General features: G+C 34.7%; 1 protein-coding gene across 7 annotated transcripts in view; it reads right to left on the bottom strand.

The window, feature by feature from the left end:
• Nucleotides 1-21,321, bottom strand: part of STX17 (syntaxin 17) — a 67,881-nt gene that overhangs the window by 14,022 nt on the left and 32,538 nt on the right. For 6 of the 7 annotated variants that reach the window (XM_047423551.1, XM_011518821.4, NM_017919.3 and 3 more), the window contains 3 exons: nucleotides 9,228-9,453; nucleotides 481-596; nucleotides 358-408 (listed from right to left, as the gene is read on the bottom strand). In XM_047423551.1, the coding sequence (XP_047279507.1) occupies nucleotides 358-408; nucleotides 481-596; nucleotides 9,228-9,453 (393 nt within the window). Of the gene's footprint in view, nucleotides 1-357; nucleotides 409-480; nucleotides 597-6,409; nucleotides 6,520-9,227; nucleotides 9,454-21,321 lie in introns of those variants that run through there. The other variant, XM_047423553.1, reaches the window with a different exon arrangement.

Raw genomic sequence — 21,321 nt, 5'->3', positions numbered from 1 at the left:
AAGACTGTGCCACTGCATTCCAGCCTGGGCGACAGAGTGAGACTCCGTCTCAAAAAAAAAAAACACAAAAAACAAGAATCTTCAAAGGCAGAGAATGGGCTTCATTTATTTCTATATCCAACCTGACCACACTCTCAATGTTAAGCATCTAACACACTGCTTGTATATAACAAGTGCTTAATAAAAGTTTCTTGAATTAATCTGGAATTTGAGAACAGTTAAACTTCTATCTATGGCTTAATACCAGTCTTAAAAATTATAAGTTCTATTAAAATTCTAATTAAAAGCCTAGTGATTATAAAAGCTTCTCATTCTAATAATCCAACAATTCTGCATCCAAAACAGTTATATACTTACATTCACTAGGAGAGAGAAGTCAGTGACCAGTTGGCTAAGTTCAATTAAGTCCTTTAAAAGAAAGGGAGAGGAAGTTACTTTTATGCCTCACAACTACCAAAAAGAAAACATTTTTTAACATACCGCTTCTAAGGTTTCCCACGATTCTGCAGCATTTTGATCTTGAGGAATTTCAGGTAAGGCATATATCTGAGTCAAACTCTGAGAACTAGCTTCAGCTTCAGTAGTATGAAATGCTCCTGGATGAACATAATAACCCCATGTTTAGAGTTTATTTGCTTTGTTAGAAAAGAGACAGCATAAATTGATTTCATAAAACAAATGCCACGTTAAATGGTGTCTAATTAAATTTAGGCTAAAAGGAAATTGATTATTCTACAAAAATAGAATTGTTTGGCTGGGTGCAGTGGCTCACACCTATAATCTCAGCACTTTGGCAGGCTGAGGCGGGAGGACTGCCTGGGCCCAGGAGTTCAAGACCCGTCTGGGCAACAGAGTGAGACCTCGTCTCTACAAAGAAATTAAAAAGTTAGCCAGGTGTAGTGGCACACACCTGTAGTCCCAGCTACTTGGGAGGCTGAGGTGGGGGGATCACTTCAGCCTGGGAGGTCGAGGTTGCAGTGAGCAGTGATCACGCCGCTGCACTCCAGCCTAGGTGAACAGAGCAAGATCCTGCCTCAAAAAAAAAAAAAAAAAAAAGATTTATCCATAGGGTAGCTTGTTCCCCAGATTAGTTAACACATTTTTTTTTTCTAAAATTTTTTTTTTTGTTTTTAATTGACACACAGTCTTGCTATGTTGCCCAGGCTGGTCTTGAACTCCCGGCCTCAACTGATCCTCCTGCCTCAGCTTCCCAAAATGCTAGAATTACAGGCGTAAGCCATGACACCAAGCTTACACACATATTTTTTTAATCTACACAGTCATTTAAAAAATGGCTACAAATACTATCTATCCAATCTGAATAACTAGGGCTAAATGTGGAAGAAGCACCAAAAGAAAACTATTCTACTTGGCCAATGTTCCAAGGAGACGTACCTATATAAATAGGTTTAATATTTTTCATCCTTAAACTTCTATTTGGCTATTTCAATGTAAATACCAGATACAGAAGGTGTTGAAAGCAGGGAAGTAATATATTTTTATTAATGATAATCAGTCACTATTGGTAATAATAAGATTGTCACCAAACATTACCATATGTGTCTTTTTTGTCACTACTCTTCTCCTCAATCTTCTGGCCCATGACTCCATTGCTTCTACTTCTTTTGAGTTTTAAAAAGTTGTCAACCCAGTAGGACTTTCCCCATTAAACACTGCTATGATGATGAATTAATTCACACTTTAAAATCTACCTTCAAGTCTTTATTTCCTCATATTGGTTTTACCAATCATTCATTCATTGAGTTGACATTTATTAAATGCCTACTACCTGCTGATCAGTGTGCTGAGGTGCTGCAGACACAATGGCAAACCATAAAAACAGTTCGGAGGAGGCAACATAGTGTAGTGGTTAGGAGCCTGGGCCTAGTCAGAAAGACTTGGGTTAGAATTCTGATTTGGCTATTTATAAACTGTTTGCCTTGGGTATTTCATCTCTTTGGCTGGTTTTTCTCATTTGTAAAATAAGGTGATATTTACTTTGCACAGTACCTGGGTTATATATAAAGTACAAGTGCTCAATAAATTAGTTACTGCTGCTGCTATTGTTAACAGATCTTACCATAAAATGCATGATACAGACATATTAATAGTCAAGTTCAGTCAGTATAGTCTAATAAGAACTGTAATACTGGTAAGTATAGAGTGCTACACGGGCACAGATGAGAGGTATTTAACCTAGACTTGTGGAAGGGAGAGTGGTCAGAGAAGGCTCTGAAGCTGAAGCCTGAGGGTGAACAGAAATTACTACACAGGTGAACTGGTGCAGGGGTGGAAGGAGAAGCAAAGAGTATTCAGGTCAGAGAGAACAGTATGTGCATACGCTTAGGGACTGAAAAATGTTCAGTATAGCTGACTGTGATGAGGAGAAAAGCAAAGTCTAAGGCTGGAAATCTACTTTGAGATTATTCATGGCATTTGTAAACTATGTTAAACAGTTTTGCTTTTCACAAAAGATCAATATGTTACTATTAAAAATAGTTGGAGACTACTGGGAAGGTGCCATAATCAGATTTTAGATTTACAGAGAAAACTATAGCCACCGTGTAAGAAACACATTAAGGATGCAGTTGGAAGGTGACAAAATTAGAGAGTAAAAAAACCACCTGAGCTCAGGAGTTCGAGATCAGCCTGGGCAACACGGCGAAACCCCATCTCTACTAAAACACAAAAAATTAGCCGGCATGGTGGCACACACCTGTAATCCCAGCTACTCAGGAGGCTGAGGCAGAAGAATTACTAGAACCTGGGAGGCAGAGGTTGCAGTGAGCCAAGATCACTCCACTGACTCCAGCCTGGGCAACAGAGCGAGACCCTGTCTCAAAAAAAAAAAAAAAACAAAAACAATAACATAAAAACAAAAACAAAAAAACAGTCTGAAGGCTTTCCAATATATCCAGTGTAACATGACGGTGATCTGCTGTAGGATAGTTACAGTAGAAATGGAAACAAAAGATCTGAAGTTCTACTATCTTCCCTTCACTTCAAGCTCAAAACACCTACCACTTACATTTTCTGAGCACCCACTGAGTATTGTGTTAGGGTGCCAGAGATAAAAAGTAATCAACACAGAGTACATTCTCTCAAGGAATTTGTATTTTAGAAGAGCCAGACATACAAAAAGAAATTATAAAACAATAGGAGACTGCATTGGTATCTATCTAGAATCAGAAATATATACATAAGTATTTTATGAGACTTCCGAGCTGTGGGTGGCATCTGATCCAGTTTGATATGGTATGCAACTCATGGGAAGCCTTTCTAGAAAACTTGAGGTTACTAGGCAAAGAAGAGAGGAATACATATTCTAGGCAGAAAAACCAGTATGAACAAAGGCCCTCAAGGAATAAACAATATAGCTATGTAAATCAGCAGTTTGATGGTACAAAGCAAGAAGTAAAAGACAAGTTACAAGTATAAGCCTACAGATGGTCAGGAGGGGCCTTGCAGACCAGTTAAAGACTTTGGACTTTATCTGGCACACCAAAGAGAGCTGTTGAAGGGTTATAAGCAGAGAAATGCCATGATGACATGTGGCATCTGATCTACTCCTAAAAGTAAGCAATTATAACTCTAAGTTCATGTTCTCTCAATGCCCCTTTCAGCCAAACCTATAACTGAAATAGTATTTTATAAAACTGCATTACTATTTTACCTTTAAAGCCTATGAATGCTTTACCTCTCTAGGAAAAATGTTTCAATTGTTTAGGAAGGCCATAGTCAATGGACTAAAAAGTAATTTGTAGATTTATCACAACTGAGAATGTTTTTAATCTTATCTGAATATATTTATTTAACTTAAAGGAAGAGCAAAGGCAGGCGATACAGAGTAAGTTTTACATTAAAACAGTATGGCAAATAGCCAATATTTTAAAAGCTCTAAATGATTTTTACAAATGCTTAAAATAGTTACTCTATGCTTTACATTATTGCCATAAAGACACTCTCATTTTCACATCAACCAAGAAAAATGAATTACTCTATGACCTTTCTTCTACTTAATATTTCCAGGTATTTACACTTCTTTCACATTATGATGAATAATGATAACTTCATTATTATTAACAGATCAAATATAAAGGAGAACTTTATAACCATGACCACTCAAAATATTTTTTAAAGCCATAATTTATGTACTATTAAAGAGGATTCAAATGAAGTTTGCGAGGGTATGCAATGAAATGAGGACAGATTATTATATATTAATACTTAATCTAAAAAAATAATGTGTGGGAAATGTTTGACATTTTAAACAAACATAAAAGATTTCCCTCAGTAAAGAATAAAAATGTTTAAGTCATTTACGTCTCACTTGAAACCAAACTACGTATGCATCTTAGTTCAAACAGAGTCTTAGAACAAAGAGGTCTGTGCTCTTCCATAAAAAACCCTGATGTAAACTTAAAACTCTAAACCTCGCTAATCAATTCAAGTCATGACTATCAATTAAAGCAAATCTTTTCATTTCTACAACTTCCATAATTCATTTATTCCAGCTTGCATTTAAAATCACTACCTCAGTGACGATCCTTTGAACTTTTACGAACTGCTATGGACATGATAAGGCAAAACGCTGAGATAGATTATAGTTTCAGGAAAGAAAGCTGAAGAACTTTAGATCTGCCTACAGAAGTAAAAAATTGTAACTGTTTCATGTAACATAATCATCTCAGGTACTCCCACCCACACACAAACCAGAAGCATAAAGGGCAAGTAGAACATAGGACCTATCACTCACCACTGTTTTTTAAACCCCAGGATTGGTTTTAAAACCTTATTGTTGGTTTAGTTGAAGTGAGAAATAAACGAAATAACCTAAGACTTTTCCCTTTTATATATATCCAAGTACTCTCTCCCTCTTTCTCCATACTTTATGAACAGCAATGATTTTACCAAGAATTATAGTATATAAAAAATTTCCACTAACCTTTACCACATAAGAAAAAGTTTTATTATAAATCTAAATTAATTCAAAAGCATTGCTGAAATGTTTTCCAGTTCTGATAGTTTAAAAATAGTGAAATTAATTTACTGATCATCTACATAAGCCTATCAAAATAAAATTACTTCTAAGCATGGCTTAACTTAGCTGCAAATGAAGACTTAAAAAAAATTAAAACCAATAGAAAATACATCTTCTGAATCATATAATACAAACCATCTACATGTTTCATAAAACTGTTCAGTACATGTATATACCTGTGATAAAAATCTAAATTTCATCAAATTCAATACGCTGGTCTGAAGTTCCCAGCAGTTTTAAGATTATATTCTTTTCTTTTGTGAATATTTGTTTAAAATGTAATAAGATTCTGTTCCTTTTGTGTTACTGAAGTGTGTGTCCTGAGAGTAAAGAAAGACAAAAATGGAGAGAAGCACTGATTCACTCTGTATGACTTGAATCACCTTTCTAAATACAAATCAGATTTGGAGGCTCCTCACTTCACTTGGTGGAAAGCAATATGCTAAAAATGAAACCAGACACACAAGTGAGACAGAAGGGAGTTTCTCAGATCAAGAAGATTGGCAGAGAAGATTTGCTTTAGGAACTCTCGGAATCTGGACAAAAGAAACAGCAAAATCATCACAGCTTCTCCCTAAACTTAATAAGCTTCTTTCATTCTCCAGAGAATATAAAACATCCTATTCTACTTGTTATTTCTATCTGTAAATGAAAAACTATTTTTGTATTTTTGATCTTACTCATGGAAATGTGGCAACATTGCTTCTGAATCTCTGCTGATGTTTCCAACCAATTTATTTAGAATCAGATTGAATTTGTAAAGTAAAAAGTATTTTAAGGCACTTAACTTCTATGCAATAAAACAGATTTTCCATATAGGCTGTTGCTACTATAATAAGTATCTAAAGCAAAAATAAGGAAAAACTGGAGAGCATAGAATAAAAACATGTAGAATGACAAAAACAGTCTACAGCTAGAAGACCAAATATGGAGCAAACTCAATTCCTACCCCACTATTAAAGTCTTATGTAAATTAGTTACTTGCTTTCCTTTCATTATTCATTTCCTTTTCCATTCTCTTATTTATTAATAATATTTCTGGACTTGAGGCAATATAGCAGAAACTCTCACACTTGGCGAAATACTCAGGCACTTGGTGAGACAGTAGTTTTTTAATTGCTTTATGTTGGCAGTGGATTAATAGTGAAAGCACACTATGACAAGCAGACTATTGAATTTGAAATTCTATACACTATTTTAGGTATAACCTAGGTATTGATTTTATTAATAGAATGACTGTCTCAACCAAATCAATACTAGTTATAGAGATTTAATTTTTTAGTTTTCTCCTAGTAATTAGGTCTTTAATAGCCCATTTGGTGAATTGAGAAGTTTGAGAATCAAGAGAATTGGGAAGTGAATTTCACCTGCTATTTCTTCTCCCTCATTCTCTGGCTCTGCTCCAATTTTTTCATTTCCTTTATGCACATACTTCTTCAAAATCTGCCGAAGTTTTTTTTTATATACCAATCAGCTTCCTATGGAGAAAGTTAATTGCCAGCAAACTGGGTAAACTGCCTTTTTCTATTAATAATAATCACCCAATTTCTCTGATGACATATAAGCCCAAAGTTGTTGATCCCGAACAGTTCTACTGGCAGTAAAACAAATAATGCAATAATAAAATGCAAATTAAAGCAAGTATTAGGATATTAAAATACTGTGAGAAAACTCTCAGATGAACTCCAAATTTTTGTTTGATAGGGGAATTGCTAGAGATAGGCAATTCAAAGCTAAGTAGCAAAAAGATTGATGTTAGTTACTCTTTCCAGAAAATCCAGGTTATCTTCACAGTTATTATTACCATCACAACTATCACAATGTCTGGGTACATAAGATGAGCCCTTAATCACATGCAACTATAAAACTCAGTTACTCCACATGTGCACATAAAGCATCAGTTTGCACTAAGTGATAAAAACGGCCTTCAACCTCACCAATATGGCAGCAATAACTATAGATGAACAGAATAATGAAACGGTAATTACAAACTATCAAAAAGCATTCTTCCCAAATACTTTTCAACCAAGGATTGAGTGCTAGCATCTCCTTCTCTCAAAAACATTTACAGTACTGGTTATCCACAGAGTGAGGTGGTTACAGTGCATGTGAAATTACAAAATTGTCTCTAAAAAGATATTTATGTATTTATGTTTATAAAACATTTAGGTCCATTATGTGCCAAGCATTGTGCTAGGTACTAAGGCTACAACAAAAGCAAGATTACCCAGAAACTCTGACTAGTGGCCTAAATGTTTCTTCCAAAAGCTTTTTTTAATCTCTCTGTAAATTACTGGATCATTAGCACTGAAAATATAAAATTAAAAATAATCTGGCTTTGGAGATAGTGATGCAGGAGTGCCCTGAGTAAATAAAAAAAGAAAAAATGGGCAGATGTAACATTTCTTTTTTTTTATTTTTATTCTTATTTTTATTTTATTGTTATTATACTTTAAGTTCTAGGGTACATGTGCACAATGTGCAGGTTAGTTACATATGTATACATGTGCCATGCTGGTGTGCTGCACCCATTAACTCATCATTTAGCTTAGGTATATCTCCTAATGCTATCCCTCCCCCCTCCCCCTACCCCACAACAGTCCCAAGTGTGATGTTCCCCTTCCTGTGTCCATGTGTTCTCATTGTTCAATTCCCACCTATGAGTGAGAACATGCAGTGTTTGGTTTTTTGTCCTTGCGATAGTTTACTGAGAATGATGATTTCCAATTTCATCCATGTCCCTACAAAGGACATGAACTCATCATTTTTTATGGCTGCATAGTATTCCATGGTGTATATGTGCCACATTTTCCTAATCCAGTCGATCATTGTTGGACATTTGGGTTGGTTCCAAGTCTTTGCTATTGTGAATACTGCCACAATAAACATACGTGTGCATGTGTCTTTATAGCAGCATGATTTATAGTCCTTTGGGTATATACCCAGTAATGGGATGGCTGGGTCAAATGATATTTCTAGTTCTAGATCCTTGAGGAATCGCCACACTGACTTCCACAATGGTTGAACTAGTTTACAGTCCCACCAACAGTGTAAAAGTGTTCTTATTTCTCCACATCCTCTCCAGCACCTGTTGTTTCCTGACTTTTTAATGATCGCCATTCTAACTGGTGTGAGATGGTATCTCACTGTGGTTTTGATTTGCATTTCTCTGATGGCCAGTGATGGTGAGCATTTTTTCATGTGTTTTTTGGCTGCATAAATGTCTTCTTTTGAGAAGTGTCTGTTCATGCTCTTCGCCCACTTTTTGTAACATCTCTAAGATTCTACTCTAATTTGTAACTTACTTATACTCCACCTTTTCCGTAAGGATTAAAGGTAGCTTAGAATAATTTATAAAATATAACAAGATGAGACAAGTTACTAACAAAAGAGAAACACTGAAACAAAAAAAGAAAACAAGGGCAGTAGTTATAAAACAAAGCTAGGATAGGTTTAAAAATCTGACTTTTGGTGGCTAAAAATTTTGGCTCTAAGCTTTCTAGTAAACAATTTAAGTAGGAAAACCTTATCAGTTATTCCATTGAATACCCAAAAGATTTTAAAAAAAAAGACCAACTACTTTGAAGTACTACTATGTATTAAGCCAAGAATATTTTCAGAATTAAAGACATTATTATAATGTGATCAGCAATTATCAATTACATCCTTAGAAGAGATGTAATGACAAATTTCACAGGGCTGTTTCTTAGAGTATCACTTCACAGAAGATGATGGCTTAACTCCCATTGTAGATTACTTAATGTTGTCAGTTATTCAGAGAACTTGGCTGAAAGATAGATCTAACATCCCCTCTGAAAATCAGAATGCTTAAGAAAAAAAAGCATGCCTGAAGAGGTCACCCCTGCACCTGGAAAGGAGTAAAGAGTACTTTGCAGACAAGAATGACATTATCCTTAGGAAATATATTTAAATTTCTCTTCAATAAATAGACAAACGGGTACTTTCCCTGAAGTCCCACTCCATAAGCATAGCCTTAAATTTTTTATTCTGCAAAATATCCAGGGTACACATTTCCAGGAACACTGATCAGGGTCCAAGGATTCAGCATATTGGGATAGTGAATGGTCTCTGAAGACCTATAGATAATTCAGTATCTACTCAAGGAGGTGATCTTTAATTAACTGCACTACTGTGACTGAGAATAAGACTTAGCACAATACATTACCACCAACAGTCATGGATCTGGTCAAAGGAGGCTGTAGCAAAGTTTCTTCATCATTAAATTGCTTCTTAAGTTCTTCTACAGATTCCAAATGGAGTTGGAGAAATTCTGCTGTTGCTGCTGATGCTTCTTCTTTAACAGGATCTATCATTCTCTTCAGAAGTACTAGGTCATCCTTTCGGACTTTCAAACAAAGTTTCTCAATTTCTCGGATATTGGATCGGAGTTGCTATAAAAGAAAAAAATCATTAATGCCACCATTTCTTAGTATAAGATATCTTTCTTTTCAGAAGTAATGTTATAATAGTTGTGGATGGAAATTATAACAAATATCTCCACAATAGAAGGTGTAGCATAATACTTTTACATTTTCCATGTCTCTGGCTGGCCAAATGCAGCATCTTTGGAACCCACATGCTCATACTTTGAATTTATTTAGCATTTTTCCTTCATTAAATGTGGTTATACAAAAATAAATGCTCTTCACAATAAATCAAACACTACAGAAGCATATGAAATAAAAATGATATTCTCACTTCACCTATCCCACCCCCTCTTAACTCAATACTCCCACACATTTCTCACGGCTCATGCACACATTTAACATATATAAGGCTTCTCCCTTTTTATTAAAAAATGGATTACATTATACACAGTAATCTATAATTTGCCATTCCATACTCAACAATATTATCCCTCCTGCTCAATGGTTACACTATATTCCACGGTGTAGTGTAGAATAATTTACTCAGTCACTCCTTCGGTGATCAACATTCATGTTGTTCCTAATTTTTAGTTATTACAAACTATGAAACAAATATCCCTGCATATAAGTCCTAATTTACTATATTAGTATATATTAACATTATAGTATACACTAATATTAATATATTATTTTGTGTAGGAAAGACTCCCAGAAACAGGAATATTCAAATGATAATGTGCATTTTTATTTCAGAAGCTATTGTTGTTTTTTTCCCAAAAAGCAGTAACACTTCACACTAGCATCAAGGTATGATTGCCTATTTCTTCACATGCTGCCAGTCCTGCATGTCATCTCACTGTTGCTTTACTCTGCACTTCCCTATGAATGAAGTTGTTAGATTTTTATCAAATGATTTTCCTTCTTTTTGAGAAATACCTACTGGCTTAGTTATAAATTTACCTCTAATATGTTGCTATAATGAATTATGTACAGATTTTGTAGTGTAGAGTCATCTTTATATTCCTGGGATAAAGCCTTTCTAGTCAATATATATAATTTTTAAATACAATGCTGAATTCATTTGCTAGTATTTTATTTGAAACTTTAGCACATAGGAGTGTGTGTGTGTGTGTGTGTGTGTATACATGTGTGCATGTACACAGTTTGTGTATTTATACTATCTTTACTAGGTTTAAATTTGCTTTAACAGGTTTAAGGTTGTGCTAACTTCATAAAATATACTGGGGAGCTTTCCCTCTTTCTCAATGGTCTATACTTTGAAAACAAAGAAACAATCCCTTTAAGATTAAATAGAACAAATTTGCAAAAATAATCAAAGTAAGAAAAGTTATATGTCTATTCATATATTTTAAATTATTTTCCCCTAAAGTGTTTTCACAATATTAATGCAAATCCTACACAGTAGACAGACCAGTTAAGTAAGAATTAATTTTTCAAGTGCATACTCTGAGTGAGGTGTTACATTATTACAGTCCAAATTATTACATATGGAAAAAGCAAACAAAAAAAAACCTGTTTAGGATTTACTTAAGTTATCTAGTGGCAAAACTGGGGTTAAAACCCAGATATTCCGATAGGGCCAGCAATCTTTCCACTAAACTATAATAATAATGTCTATCTATGTAGTATCTTAATATAATACAATCTAAAGTTTCCATTTTACTGTAGTAAAATTAAAGTCAATTCTAGAAAAAAAAATAGTTTAGTTACAACCTAAAGCATCTTGTAAGATTTTTCTGGGTGAAAAAATTGTGCCTCTATCTTACCATGACTCTATACTTCCTGTAACCTTATCTTCAGTCTCTTACCATTCTAATATGAGCTGAAAAACCTAAGGATAATTAAACTGTAGATTCAAAATATGTGAAATGTAGGTATTAATATGTTAAAATTATATAACCTTAAAGGGGGCATAAGTGAGCATCTAATACAACCTCACAATTTTACAATAAGGAAACTGGAGTCTAGACAAACACAGTGGCAGAATTTGGACTACAGCCCAGGCCTCAAGTCCCAGAACAATACTGTTTCCAACACACCACCATTTCCTGGCTATGTGACTCCTTTCTGGACCATAATTATAAAGCTTGGTTATATAGTTACCAGTCTACAGAAATATTTTAGGTAATATTATCTTGGAGAAGCATTAAAAATTTTCTACAGCCAAACTTAATGAGCATTTGTTTGTGACACCTTCCTCACTTATGTAATTTGTACATATGTCTGTCCCCAGTCAAATTACAGTATCCAGCTAAGAACTCTATTACTATGAGTAATGTGGAAAATTTTGAGGGAGAGAAAGAAAAAACCCACTGAAGTATAAAATCTGATACTATAATAACAGCAACAATGATAACAAAAACATAAATAGTGGCTAAATTTTAATCAACACTTAAAGTTATCGATTGTGCTAACAGCTTTACGTCTTTTATCTTCCCCTCACAATATATCTTTGAAATGGATATTACTATTATTCTCATTTTATAGAAGAGAAAATTAAAGCAAGAAGTTCAAAAAGTAGCCCAGGATTACACTGCTAGTAAATAGTATAGGCAAGAATCAAATCCAGACCACAGATCTTGTGTTCTAACTACTTTATTACATAGCAAACACCATCCAACACAAACATAATGCAAATCACACACACAAGCCACATATGTAATTTAAAAATTTTTTAAATTACATTAAAAAAGTAAAAACAAGGGAAATTAATTTTAATAATATTTTATTTAACCTAATATAGCTAAAATACTATTTTAATATGCAATTATAAAACTTAAAATCTTTTACATTGTTTTATTTGTAGTAAGTCTTAGAAATCTGGTATATATTTTACATTCACAGCACATCTCAGTTCAAACTGGCTACATTTTAAGTGCTCAACAGTCACATGTAGTTAGGAGCTACTACATTGGATAGGGCAACTAGGGAATCTCTCTAAAATCAAACAGAGGGAACAGGATGGTAAAACCATATATGAAGAACATAAAGTCAGGTGTTTCTGCTTCTGAAAACAGCAGGCTAGGTGATTCAGACTAACCTTCCCACTAATGGCTACTTCAAAAGTTGAACAAAAATCAAATCACAAAACAAACCAATAGGAAAAAAAAAAAAAACTTGAAAAGTACCATAAAGCAAACAAGATAGTAAGTAACTATAGGACAAGAATTGGGCAAAGATGGAAATCTAGAGAGGTGAGTCCTGAACTCAGGACCACATTTGCTTTGGGAGTATTTGCATACCAGAATATAAACTCACAAAGCTTGGATTAAAATTTCAATGCCAAGACCTGCTAAGTATAAGGACTCTGGTACTTTTGGCTGGGATCGTCAGAGCTCCACCCTAGGAACACAGGTAATCCTAAAATAAAGCAGCCCTTGCATGAACTACAGACTGGCCTCCAGTCTCGAGTAGCTCACAGAAAACCTTAAGCTCTAAAATTGGATAAAGATAATCTTGGAAAGTTAGTGCCCCCAGCGGCTTAGAAGAGCAAATGAAAATATCTGGAGGAAGATAACATCATCCCTAGCTTCAAATAATTTCTATAAATAATGTTTCAAATACAATGTCCACCAATCAAAGATTACCAAGCACATGAGGACATATGCAGCATGAGGAAGAAACAGCAAAAACAACAGGCAACAGAAACATCCAAAAGGACATGTAATGAGGGAATGAGCAAATGTAGTCTACAAAACTATAGTTATTTTGTTCAAAGGCATAAAAATAAAGCTTGAAAATTTAGCAGACAATTGGAAACTATAAAAAGCAACATATAGGTTTTTTAATGAATATTCTATAATTTTAAAATAATGTCCACAAGAATTTAATAATTGAGTTTAGCTTCATATTAGGCCCAGTTCAAGAAAGATATAAATTGGAAAACAGATCTGAAGAAACTATGTAAAAAAGAAACAAGGAAAGTAAAAAATATAGAAGAAAAGTTAAGAAATACAGAAGATATAGTTAGAAAAGGGTACAATATACATTTACTTAGAATTCCAGAAGAAGACGGAAAATGAATTTGAATAGATAATGACTGAGAATTTTCAAAACATTGAAGAAAAACATCCATCCACAATTCAAGGTCAACAAATCCTGAGAAGAATAAATAAAAGGAAAAATACACCTAGCCAGAAGAGAGAAAAAGAAGGAGAAAAGATGTCTAAAAGCAGCTAGAGACAAGAGTTTCTTGCAAAGAAACAGTAAGATTATAATACGACTTCTCAACAGCAATAACGAAAGCCTAAAGACAATGGAACAAAATATTCAAAGTATAGAAAGCAAATTACTATCAACCTAAAGTTCTATATGCTGCAAAAATATCTTTCAAGACCACAGGTAAAATAAAAATATTTTTAGACAAACAAAAGCTGAGAGAATTTGCCTTCAGTCAATAACACACAGTAAGAGAAATATTAAATGGTGATCTTCAAAAATAACAATTAATCCCAGATAAAAAGTTGGAAATGCAAAAAGAAATGAACAGAAATGAAAATATGCTAAAAAGTGGGTAAATCTAGATGACCAGTAACTCTACTAAAACAATAATACTAATGTCTGTGGTGTTTAGAAATATTTATATAAAAGTAGCATTTAAGTTGCAGGGCATACATGGAACTAAAATAGTCTAAGGAACTGATATTATCTGTACTTCTAAGTTAAAGATGTACGTTGTAATTTCTAGTAAAAGTATATACATTTATTCCTTGGTATCCATGGAGGATTGGTTCCAGGACTCCCTGCAAATACCCAAAATCCATAGATGTTCAAAGCCTTACATAAAATGGTGTAGTATTTGTGTAAAACCTATGAATATCCTCCTGTATACTTTATCGCTAGATTACTTATAATACCTAATATAATATAAATACTATATAAATTGTTATACTGTACTTTTATAGAGAACAGTGACAAGCAAAAGAGTCAGTACAGATGCAACTATCCATTCTTTTTGTTTTTGTTTTTGTTTTTGTTTTTGAGATGGAGTCTTGCTCTATCGCCCAGGCTGGAGTGCAGTGGCACGATTTTGGCTCACTGCAACCTCCGCCTCCCAGGTTTAAGCGATTCGCCTGCCTCAGCCTCCCGAGTAGCTGGGATTACAGGCGCCAGCCACCACGCCCATCTAATTTTTTTGTATTTTAGTAGAGATGGGGTTTCACTATGTTAGCCAGGTTGGTCTCGAACTCCTGACCTCAGGTGATCCACCCACCTCAGCCTCCCAAAGTGCTGGGATTACAGGCGTAAGCCACCGCGCCCGGCCGCAACTGTCCATTTAAAAAAAAAAAATTTTTGTTCCACAGTTGATGAAATCCTTGGAGAAGGCTCAAATGTAGTTCCTAAACTAGAAAGGAAAAAATTAGATAAATTAAAAAAAACAAGATCAATACAAAAGAAAGTAAATATGGAGATTTAAAAAATATGTTTAAGAAATAGCACACAATAAGGTGAAAGATTTAAACCTAAATATATCGATAATTACATTAAATAAAAATGAAATAAATATTCCAGTTACAGGATAAAGATTTATAGACTGAATTTTAAAAAACTTAAGCGATTGTATCTAAAACATAAAGAAAAGAATGGTTCAATGTAAGAAGATGAAAAAGATAAACCACTTTAACCCTAACACCTCCTCTCCAAAGAAAACCTGCTGCGGCAATATTAGAAAAAACAGACTTTAAAGCCAAAACATTGCTAAAAATAAAGAGAATCACTTTATAATATCTGTACCAGGAATATATAATAATACCTAAGTTAAGTACACCTAATAACATACCCACAATACATATAATGCAAAACCGGACAAGAACTATAAAGAAAAATTGAAACAAATCCACAATCATAAGGGAAAGCTTTAACACCTTTAAGTAATTAACAGAACAAATGGACAAAAGGATGTTAAGTTAATATAGAGGATTTGAACAATAAGTTTAACACAAACTAGATATAAATTATATAGAACATTATACCAAACAAGGTGAGAATACACATGTCAAAAACACACAAATACACATGGAGAACAATTATAAAAATTGATTATACACTAAGTCTTAAAGGAAGTTTTGACAAATTTCAAAAATATTGACACTGATATCATACAGACCATATACTCTGATCATAATAAAATTAAACTTGAAATCATTAATAAAATATATCTATAAACATTTCATGACCAATAATGAAGAAAGACATATTTCTAAATAACCCACAAGTCAAAGAAATCACAATAGAAATAAAAAATGCTGGCTGGGCGCAGTGGCTCATGCCTGTAATCCTAACACTTTGGGAGGCTGAGGAGGGTGGATCATCTGAGGTCAGGAGTTTGAGACCAGCCTGACAAACATGGCGAAACCCCATCTCTACTAAAAATACAAAAAATTAGCCGGGTGTGGTGGTGGGCACCTGTAATCCCAGCTACTCGGGAGGCTGAGGCAGGAGAATCTTTTGAACCCAAGAGGCGGAGGTTGCAGTGAGCCAAGATTGCACCATTGCACTCCAGCCTGGGCAACAAGAGTGAAACTCCAACTTAAAAAAAAAAAAAAATGCTTTGACCTGAATGAAAAGAAAAATAATGCATATTTAAACCTACAGGCAGCCAAAGCAATACAAATTTATAGCTGTAACTGCATATATATATATTAGAAAAGAAAAAAGGTTGAAAATTAGTAGACTGAAAATCCATTGCAAGAAACTAGAAAATAGTAAAAACAATTGCAAAAAAAGTAGAAAGGAGAAAATAATAAAAATGTAAAAATAAATTTGATGAAACAGAAAAACAAACATAATACAATAGATTAACCAAGCCAAAACTAGATTTTTGGGAAGACTAATAAAATTGATAAACCTCATTGACAAATAATTTTAAAAAATAGAGAAGGCATAAATAACCAAAATCAGAAATGAAAAACGGCATTACTACTGATCTTGCAGAATTAAAAAATAAAATATTCTGAAAAAATGTATGCCAATAAATTAGAAAACTTAGATGAAATAAATTATTAGAAGACTATAACTTATCAAACTGACAAACAGAAACCAAAATAGTCATATAATTATTAAAGAAATTAAATGTATATTTTGAAGTCTCTCTTCCTCGCCACACAAAACCAAAACCAACTAAACAAACAAACAAAGAAAAAGCCCAGCCTGATAGTTTTACTGGCCAATTCTACCAAATATTTAAAGGAAATTACACAAATTCTTCAAAGGCACAGAAAAAGACCATCCTCTAACTCTTTATGATAGCACAACCTTGAAACGAAACTTAAGAAGATTAAGAATAAAGAAAAATTCAGACTAGTCTCACGCACTATAAACAAGATTTTAAAATCCTAAAGAAACACCAGCAATTTAAATCTAGCTTCATATAAAAGATAAAACAATAAAATATGGTCATGGATTGGAGGATTCAATATTGCAAAGATGTCACTTTTATTCAAATATAGAGATTCAGCTGGGTGCAGTGGCTCACGCCTGTAATCTCAGCACTTTGGGAGGCCAAGGTGGGCAGATCATTTGAGGTCAGGAGTTCGAGACCAGCCTGGCCAACATGGTGAAACCCCGTCTCTACTAAGAAATACAAAAATTTGCTGGGCGTGGTGGCGCACACCTGTAGTCCCAGCTACTTGGGAGGCTGAGGCAGGAGAATCGCTTGAACCCAGGAGGCAGAGGTTGCAGTGAGCCAAGATTGCGCCACTGCACTCCAGCCTGGGTGACAGAGTGAGACACCAACTCAAAAAAACAAAAACAGAAACAAAAATCAGCCGGGCGAGGTGGTATGCGCCTGTAGTCCCAGCTACTCGGGAGGCTGAGGCAGGAGAATCACTTGAATCCAGGAGGCGGAGCTTGCAGTGAGCAGAGATCGCGCCACTGCACTCCAGCCTGGGCAACAGACCGAGACTGCATCTCAAAACAAACAAACAAACAAACGAACAAACAAAAACAAATACAGGAATTCAATAAATTAAATAAATTTGCAAAAGGTTAATTGATACTTTGTTTTGTTTTGGTGAAACTTAATAAGCTGATTCTAAAATGTATATGAAAATGCACAGGGCTGAGACTATCCAAATCACTTGTGAAGAAGGAAGTAGGAGAACTTCCTCTATTAGATATCAAAACTCATTATAAAGCCATAGTAATTAAGAGAGTATGGCATTAGTGCAAGAAAAGACAAATACACAGTGAAACAGCCCAGAAACAACCCAAACATAAATGCACTTGACTTACGACAAAAGTAGCACTACAGAGCAATGATGGGAAAAAAAATGAAGTTTTCAAATCATTATGCCTAGTAATTTGGGTATCCTTATGAAAAAAAAATAAAGCTGGATATACCACTTCACGCCATATACAATAATCAACCAGATGGACTGTAGACTTAAATGTGAAAGGCAAAACAATAACACTTTTAAATAGAAGAATATCTTTGTAACCCTGGGTAGGAAAGATTTCTTAAACATGGCACAACTCTCGAGCCCAGGAGTTTGAGACAGCAGTGAGCTATGATTGCGCCACTGCACTCCAGCCTGGGTAACAAAAGGAGACCCCGTCTCTAAAAAATAAAAATAAAAGTAAACACGGCACAAAATCACTAACTATAAGATTGATAACCTTTAAATTAAATGAGCTTCTAGTCATCAAGAAACACCACTAAGACAGTGAAAAAGTAAACCACTGAGTGGCAGAAGATATCTGCAACACATATAACTGATAAAGGGGTCATAGGCAAAACATATGAAGAAGTCTTACAAATCAATATAAAAAAATACAAACAACCCACAGAAACTTAGGCAAGAACTCTAAATGGGCATGTCTCATAAACACATGAAAAATTAATCTCATGAATAATCAGGTAAATGTAAATTAAAACCACAATTAACTTACCCACCAGAACAGCTAAAATTAAAGTCTGACAATACTAAATATTGGTATTGGTAAGGATGTGGTGCCCACAGGATTGTACTCACTGCTGGAAGGAATGTAAAATTAACATTACTGTTTTGGAAAATAGCTTGGCATTACTTACTAAAGTTGAAAGTAAGTATGCTGAAGGAACCAACAATTCCTGTCCTAGGAATATACTCAACAGAAATATGTGCACATGTGTAAAAATATACAAGAATGTTAATAGCATTTATAATATAAACTGAACAACTCAAATGTCCATCCACAGAATGGAAACACTATGGTATGTTCATTAAATAGAATATATACAGCAATGAAAATGGATGAACTATTGTTATAGGCAAAAACACAGGTAAATGACAAGCCAGACACAAAAGATATCTTGTTTAATTCAATTTATATAATGTTCAAAAATAGGCTAAATTAAACTACAGTCTTAAGGACACACTTTGGCAGTAAAATTATACAGAAAAGGTACAAAGTATTTACCATATAAATCAAGATAGTGATTCTTTTTGCAGGGGAAAAGGTGGTTGTAATTGGGAAGAGGCTATGGGCTTCTAGGATACCAGCAACTATTTCTTGATCTGAGTAGTGATACATGAGTGTTCACAGTATAATAATTTATTTAGGTGTATATTTATATTTTAGGCATTTTTTAGAATACGTAAATTATATTTCACAATAAAAAGCTTAAATACTTTCAGAAAATACTACTACATTGACTTGTATGGTCAATTAACCTTAGGACAGAAACGAGGTTGAAGCATTTGGGTAGGGGTAAAACTGAGCAGGAATTTTATTGTGGAAGTATACTGGATAAGGATATTACTTAACATTCAACTGAACTGTAAAGTTTCTAAGAACGGGGATTGTGTCTAATTTCTTTGTCATATATCCTCAAGGCCACATTTGGTCCCTGGTATATGGTATGATTCAATCAATATGGTAAAAGAATGAATGCTTTCTTAATACTTTGCAAAAAGTGGCAAAGTAGTGGTCCAACAACATGCATCTCCAACTATCAAGAAACCAACTAAAATTCTTCCCTAGAAAAGTGTAGTCACTAGCATATGAAACATTCCATCTTTCATTAAGTGGAAGAAATAATGAAAAGAACTACTCCTTTGGAATTAATTCTGACATACAAGCATAAAATAGTGAAGTGGAAGTGAGACACATGAGAGAGAAACCATGATGCCATCTTGCAGTTTAGTTCACAAGAGTTAGAAGGAACACTAGGATTAGAGATTCTTTAGGAAAGATAATTTGATCAAGTTTAAAGAAAAAAGCTGTATGATGCCATAGCAGAAATCACACTGTAATAAAGTTTTTTGCAAAAGAGATAAAGTTTCTAAAAAGTAAAATTCTAGGCCGGGTGCGGTGGCTCACGCCTGTAATCCCGGCACTTTGGGAGGCTGAGTCAGGCGGACTGCCTGAGGTCAGGAGTTTGAGACCAGTCTGGACAACATGAAGAAACCCCGTCTCTACTAAAAATACAAGAAAATTAGCTGGGCATGGTGGTGTGCGCCTGTAATCCTAGCTACTTGGGAGGCTGAGGCAGGGGAATTGCTTGAAGCCGGGGGGTGGAGGTTGCAGTGAGCTGAGATCTGAGATCACGCCACTGCACTCCAGCCTGGGTGACAGAGTGGGACTCCATCTCAAAAAAAAAAAAAAAAAAAGTAAAATTCTACACTATACAAACAAGTTAATCTGACACTATAAAAACAATTAACCTCACACCTGTACTCCCAGCACCTTGGGAGGCCGACGCGGGCGGATCACTTGAAGGTCAGGAGTTTGAGACCAGCCTGGCCAACGTGGTAAAACCCCATCTTTATTAAAAATACAAAAATTATCCAGGCATGGTGGTGGGCACCTGTAATCCCAGCTACTTGGGAGGCTGAGGCAGGAGACTCACTTGAACCCGGGAGGTGGTGGTTGCAGTGAGCTGAGATCGTGCCACTGAACTCCAGCCTGGGCGACAAGAGCGAGACTGCCTCTCAAAAAATAAAAAACTAAAATAAGTTAATCTGATAAGAAAGAAAAGAAAGTGGCATCTAAAGAATCCAATATGGTTGTTGTGTAAGGTGTGCTATGATAAGTTCAGAATTTTAAGAGACTTGTAAAACAAAGAGAATCTTGTAAGTAAAGTTAGAGCCCAGAATGAGCGGAGGCTGATGAAAAAATGTTAAGAACAATAAAAAGGACTTAAAAAATACATGTAGAGTAAGAACAAGAAAGAAAGTTCAGGCCCACTGCTTGGGGCAGATGGTGCAGTGTTGGCAGATGATGCAGAGAGAGCAGAACTATGTAACTCCTATTTTGCTTTTGATTCTCTATTAAGGGGAAATATTCAAAATGAAAGGGGTGGAAGAAACATGCTCAAAGGAAATCTGAAACATAGTAAGGATCTAGGTAGGCTTCATGAAGGAGGGGAGACTTGTGCTGTCTCTGAAAAATAATAATGGGAAAATAGAACACACTAAATAGGAAGAACAGATTGGGAAAAGACTGAGGTAGGGTAGAAGCCTTCTAAATACTGTATTTCATCAATTTTAAAACACAGTATCTTGTCCACATTTTAACATCTCTAAAATTGGAAAGTATCTTAAAATAAATGGTAAAAAGCATTGTGCATAGTTAACTGGCAGTACTTTTTTCTTTCTTAGAGGTATACAAAATAATAGTGTGTCTTACAACTGACGATGTTTTAGATTTAATTTCCTCCCTGAGATTCTGTAGAACCTATGCCAATCAGAGTAGAGGTCAAGGATCCTAAATCCTGATTAATCAGCTCATAAGAACTTTAAGGCAAAATTTAACTCACAATAAACTAAAACAAGTTATATCCTAATAGCATTCATTTTGGAATCCACTCTTGTATCTTCTTTTCCATTCTCTATCTGGTTTTGCTTCTCCTTAATCGTTTCTTTTCTCCTAACCAGTCTACTATATTTG

Source organism: Homo sapiens, chromosome 9 (genome assembly GCF_000001405.40).
Source record: "Homo sapiens chromosome 9, GRCh38.p14 Primary Assembly".
NCBI classification, from domain to species: domain Eukaryota; kingdom Metazoa; phylum Chordata; class Mammalia; order Primates; family Hominidae; genus Homo; species Homo sapiens.
This window is presented reverse-complemented; position numbering and strand designations above follow the sequence as displayed.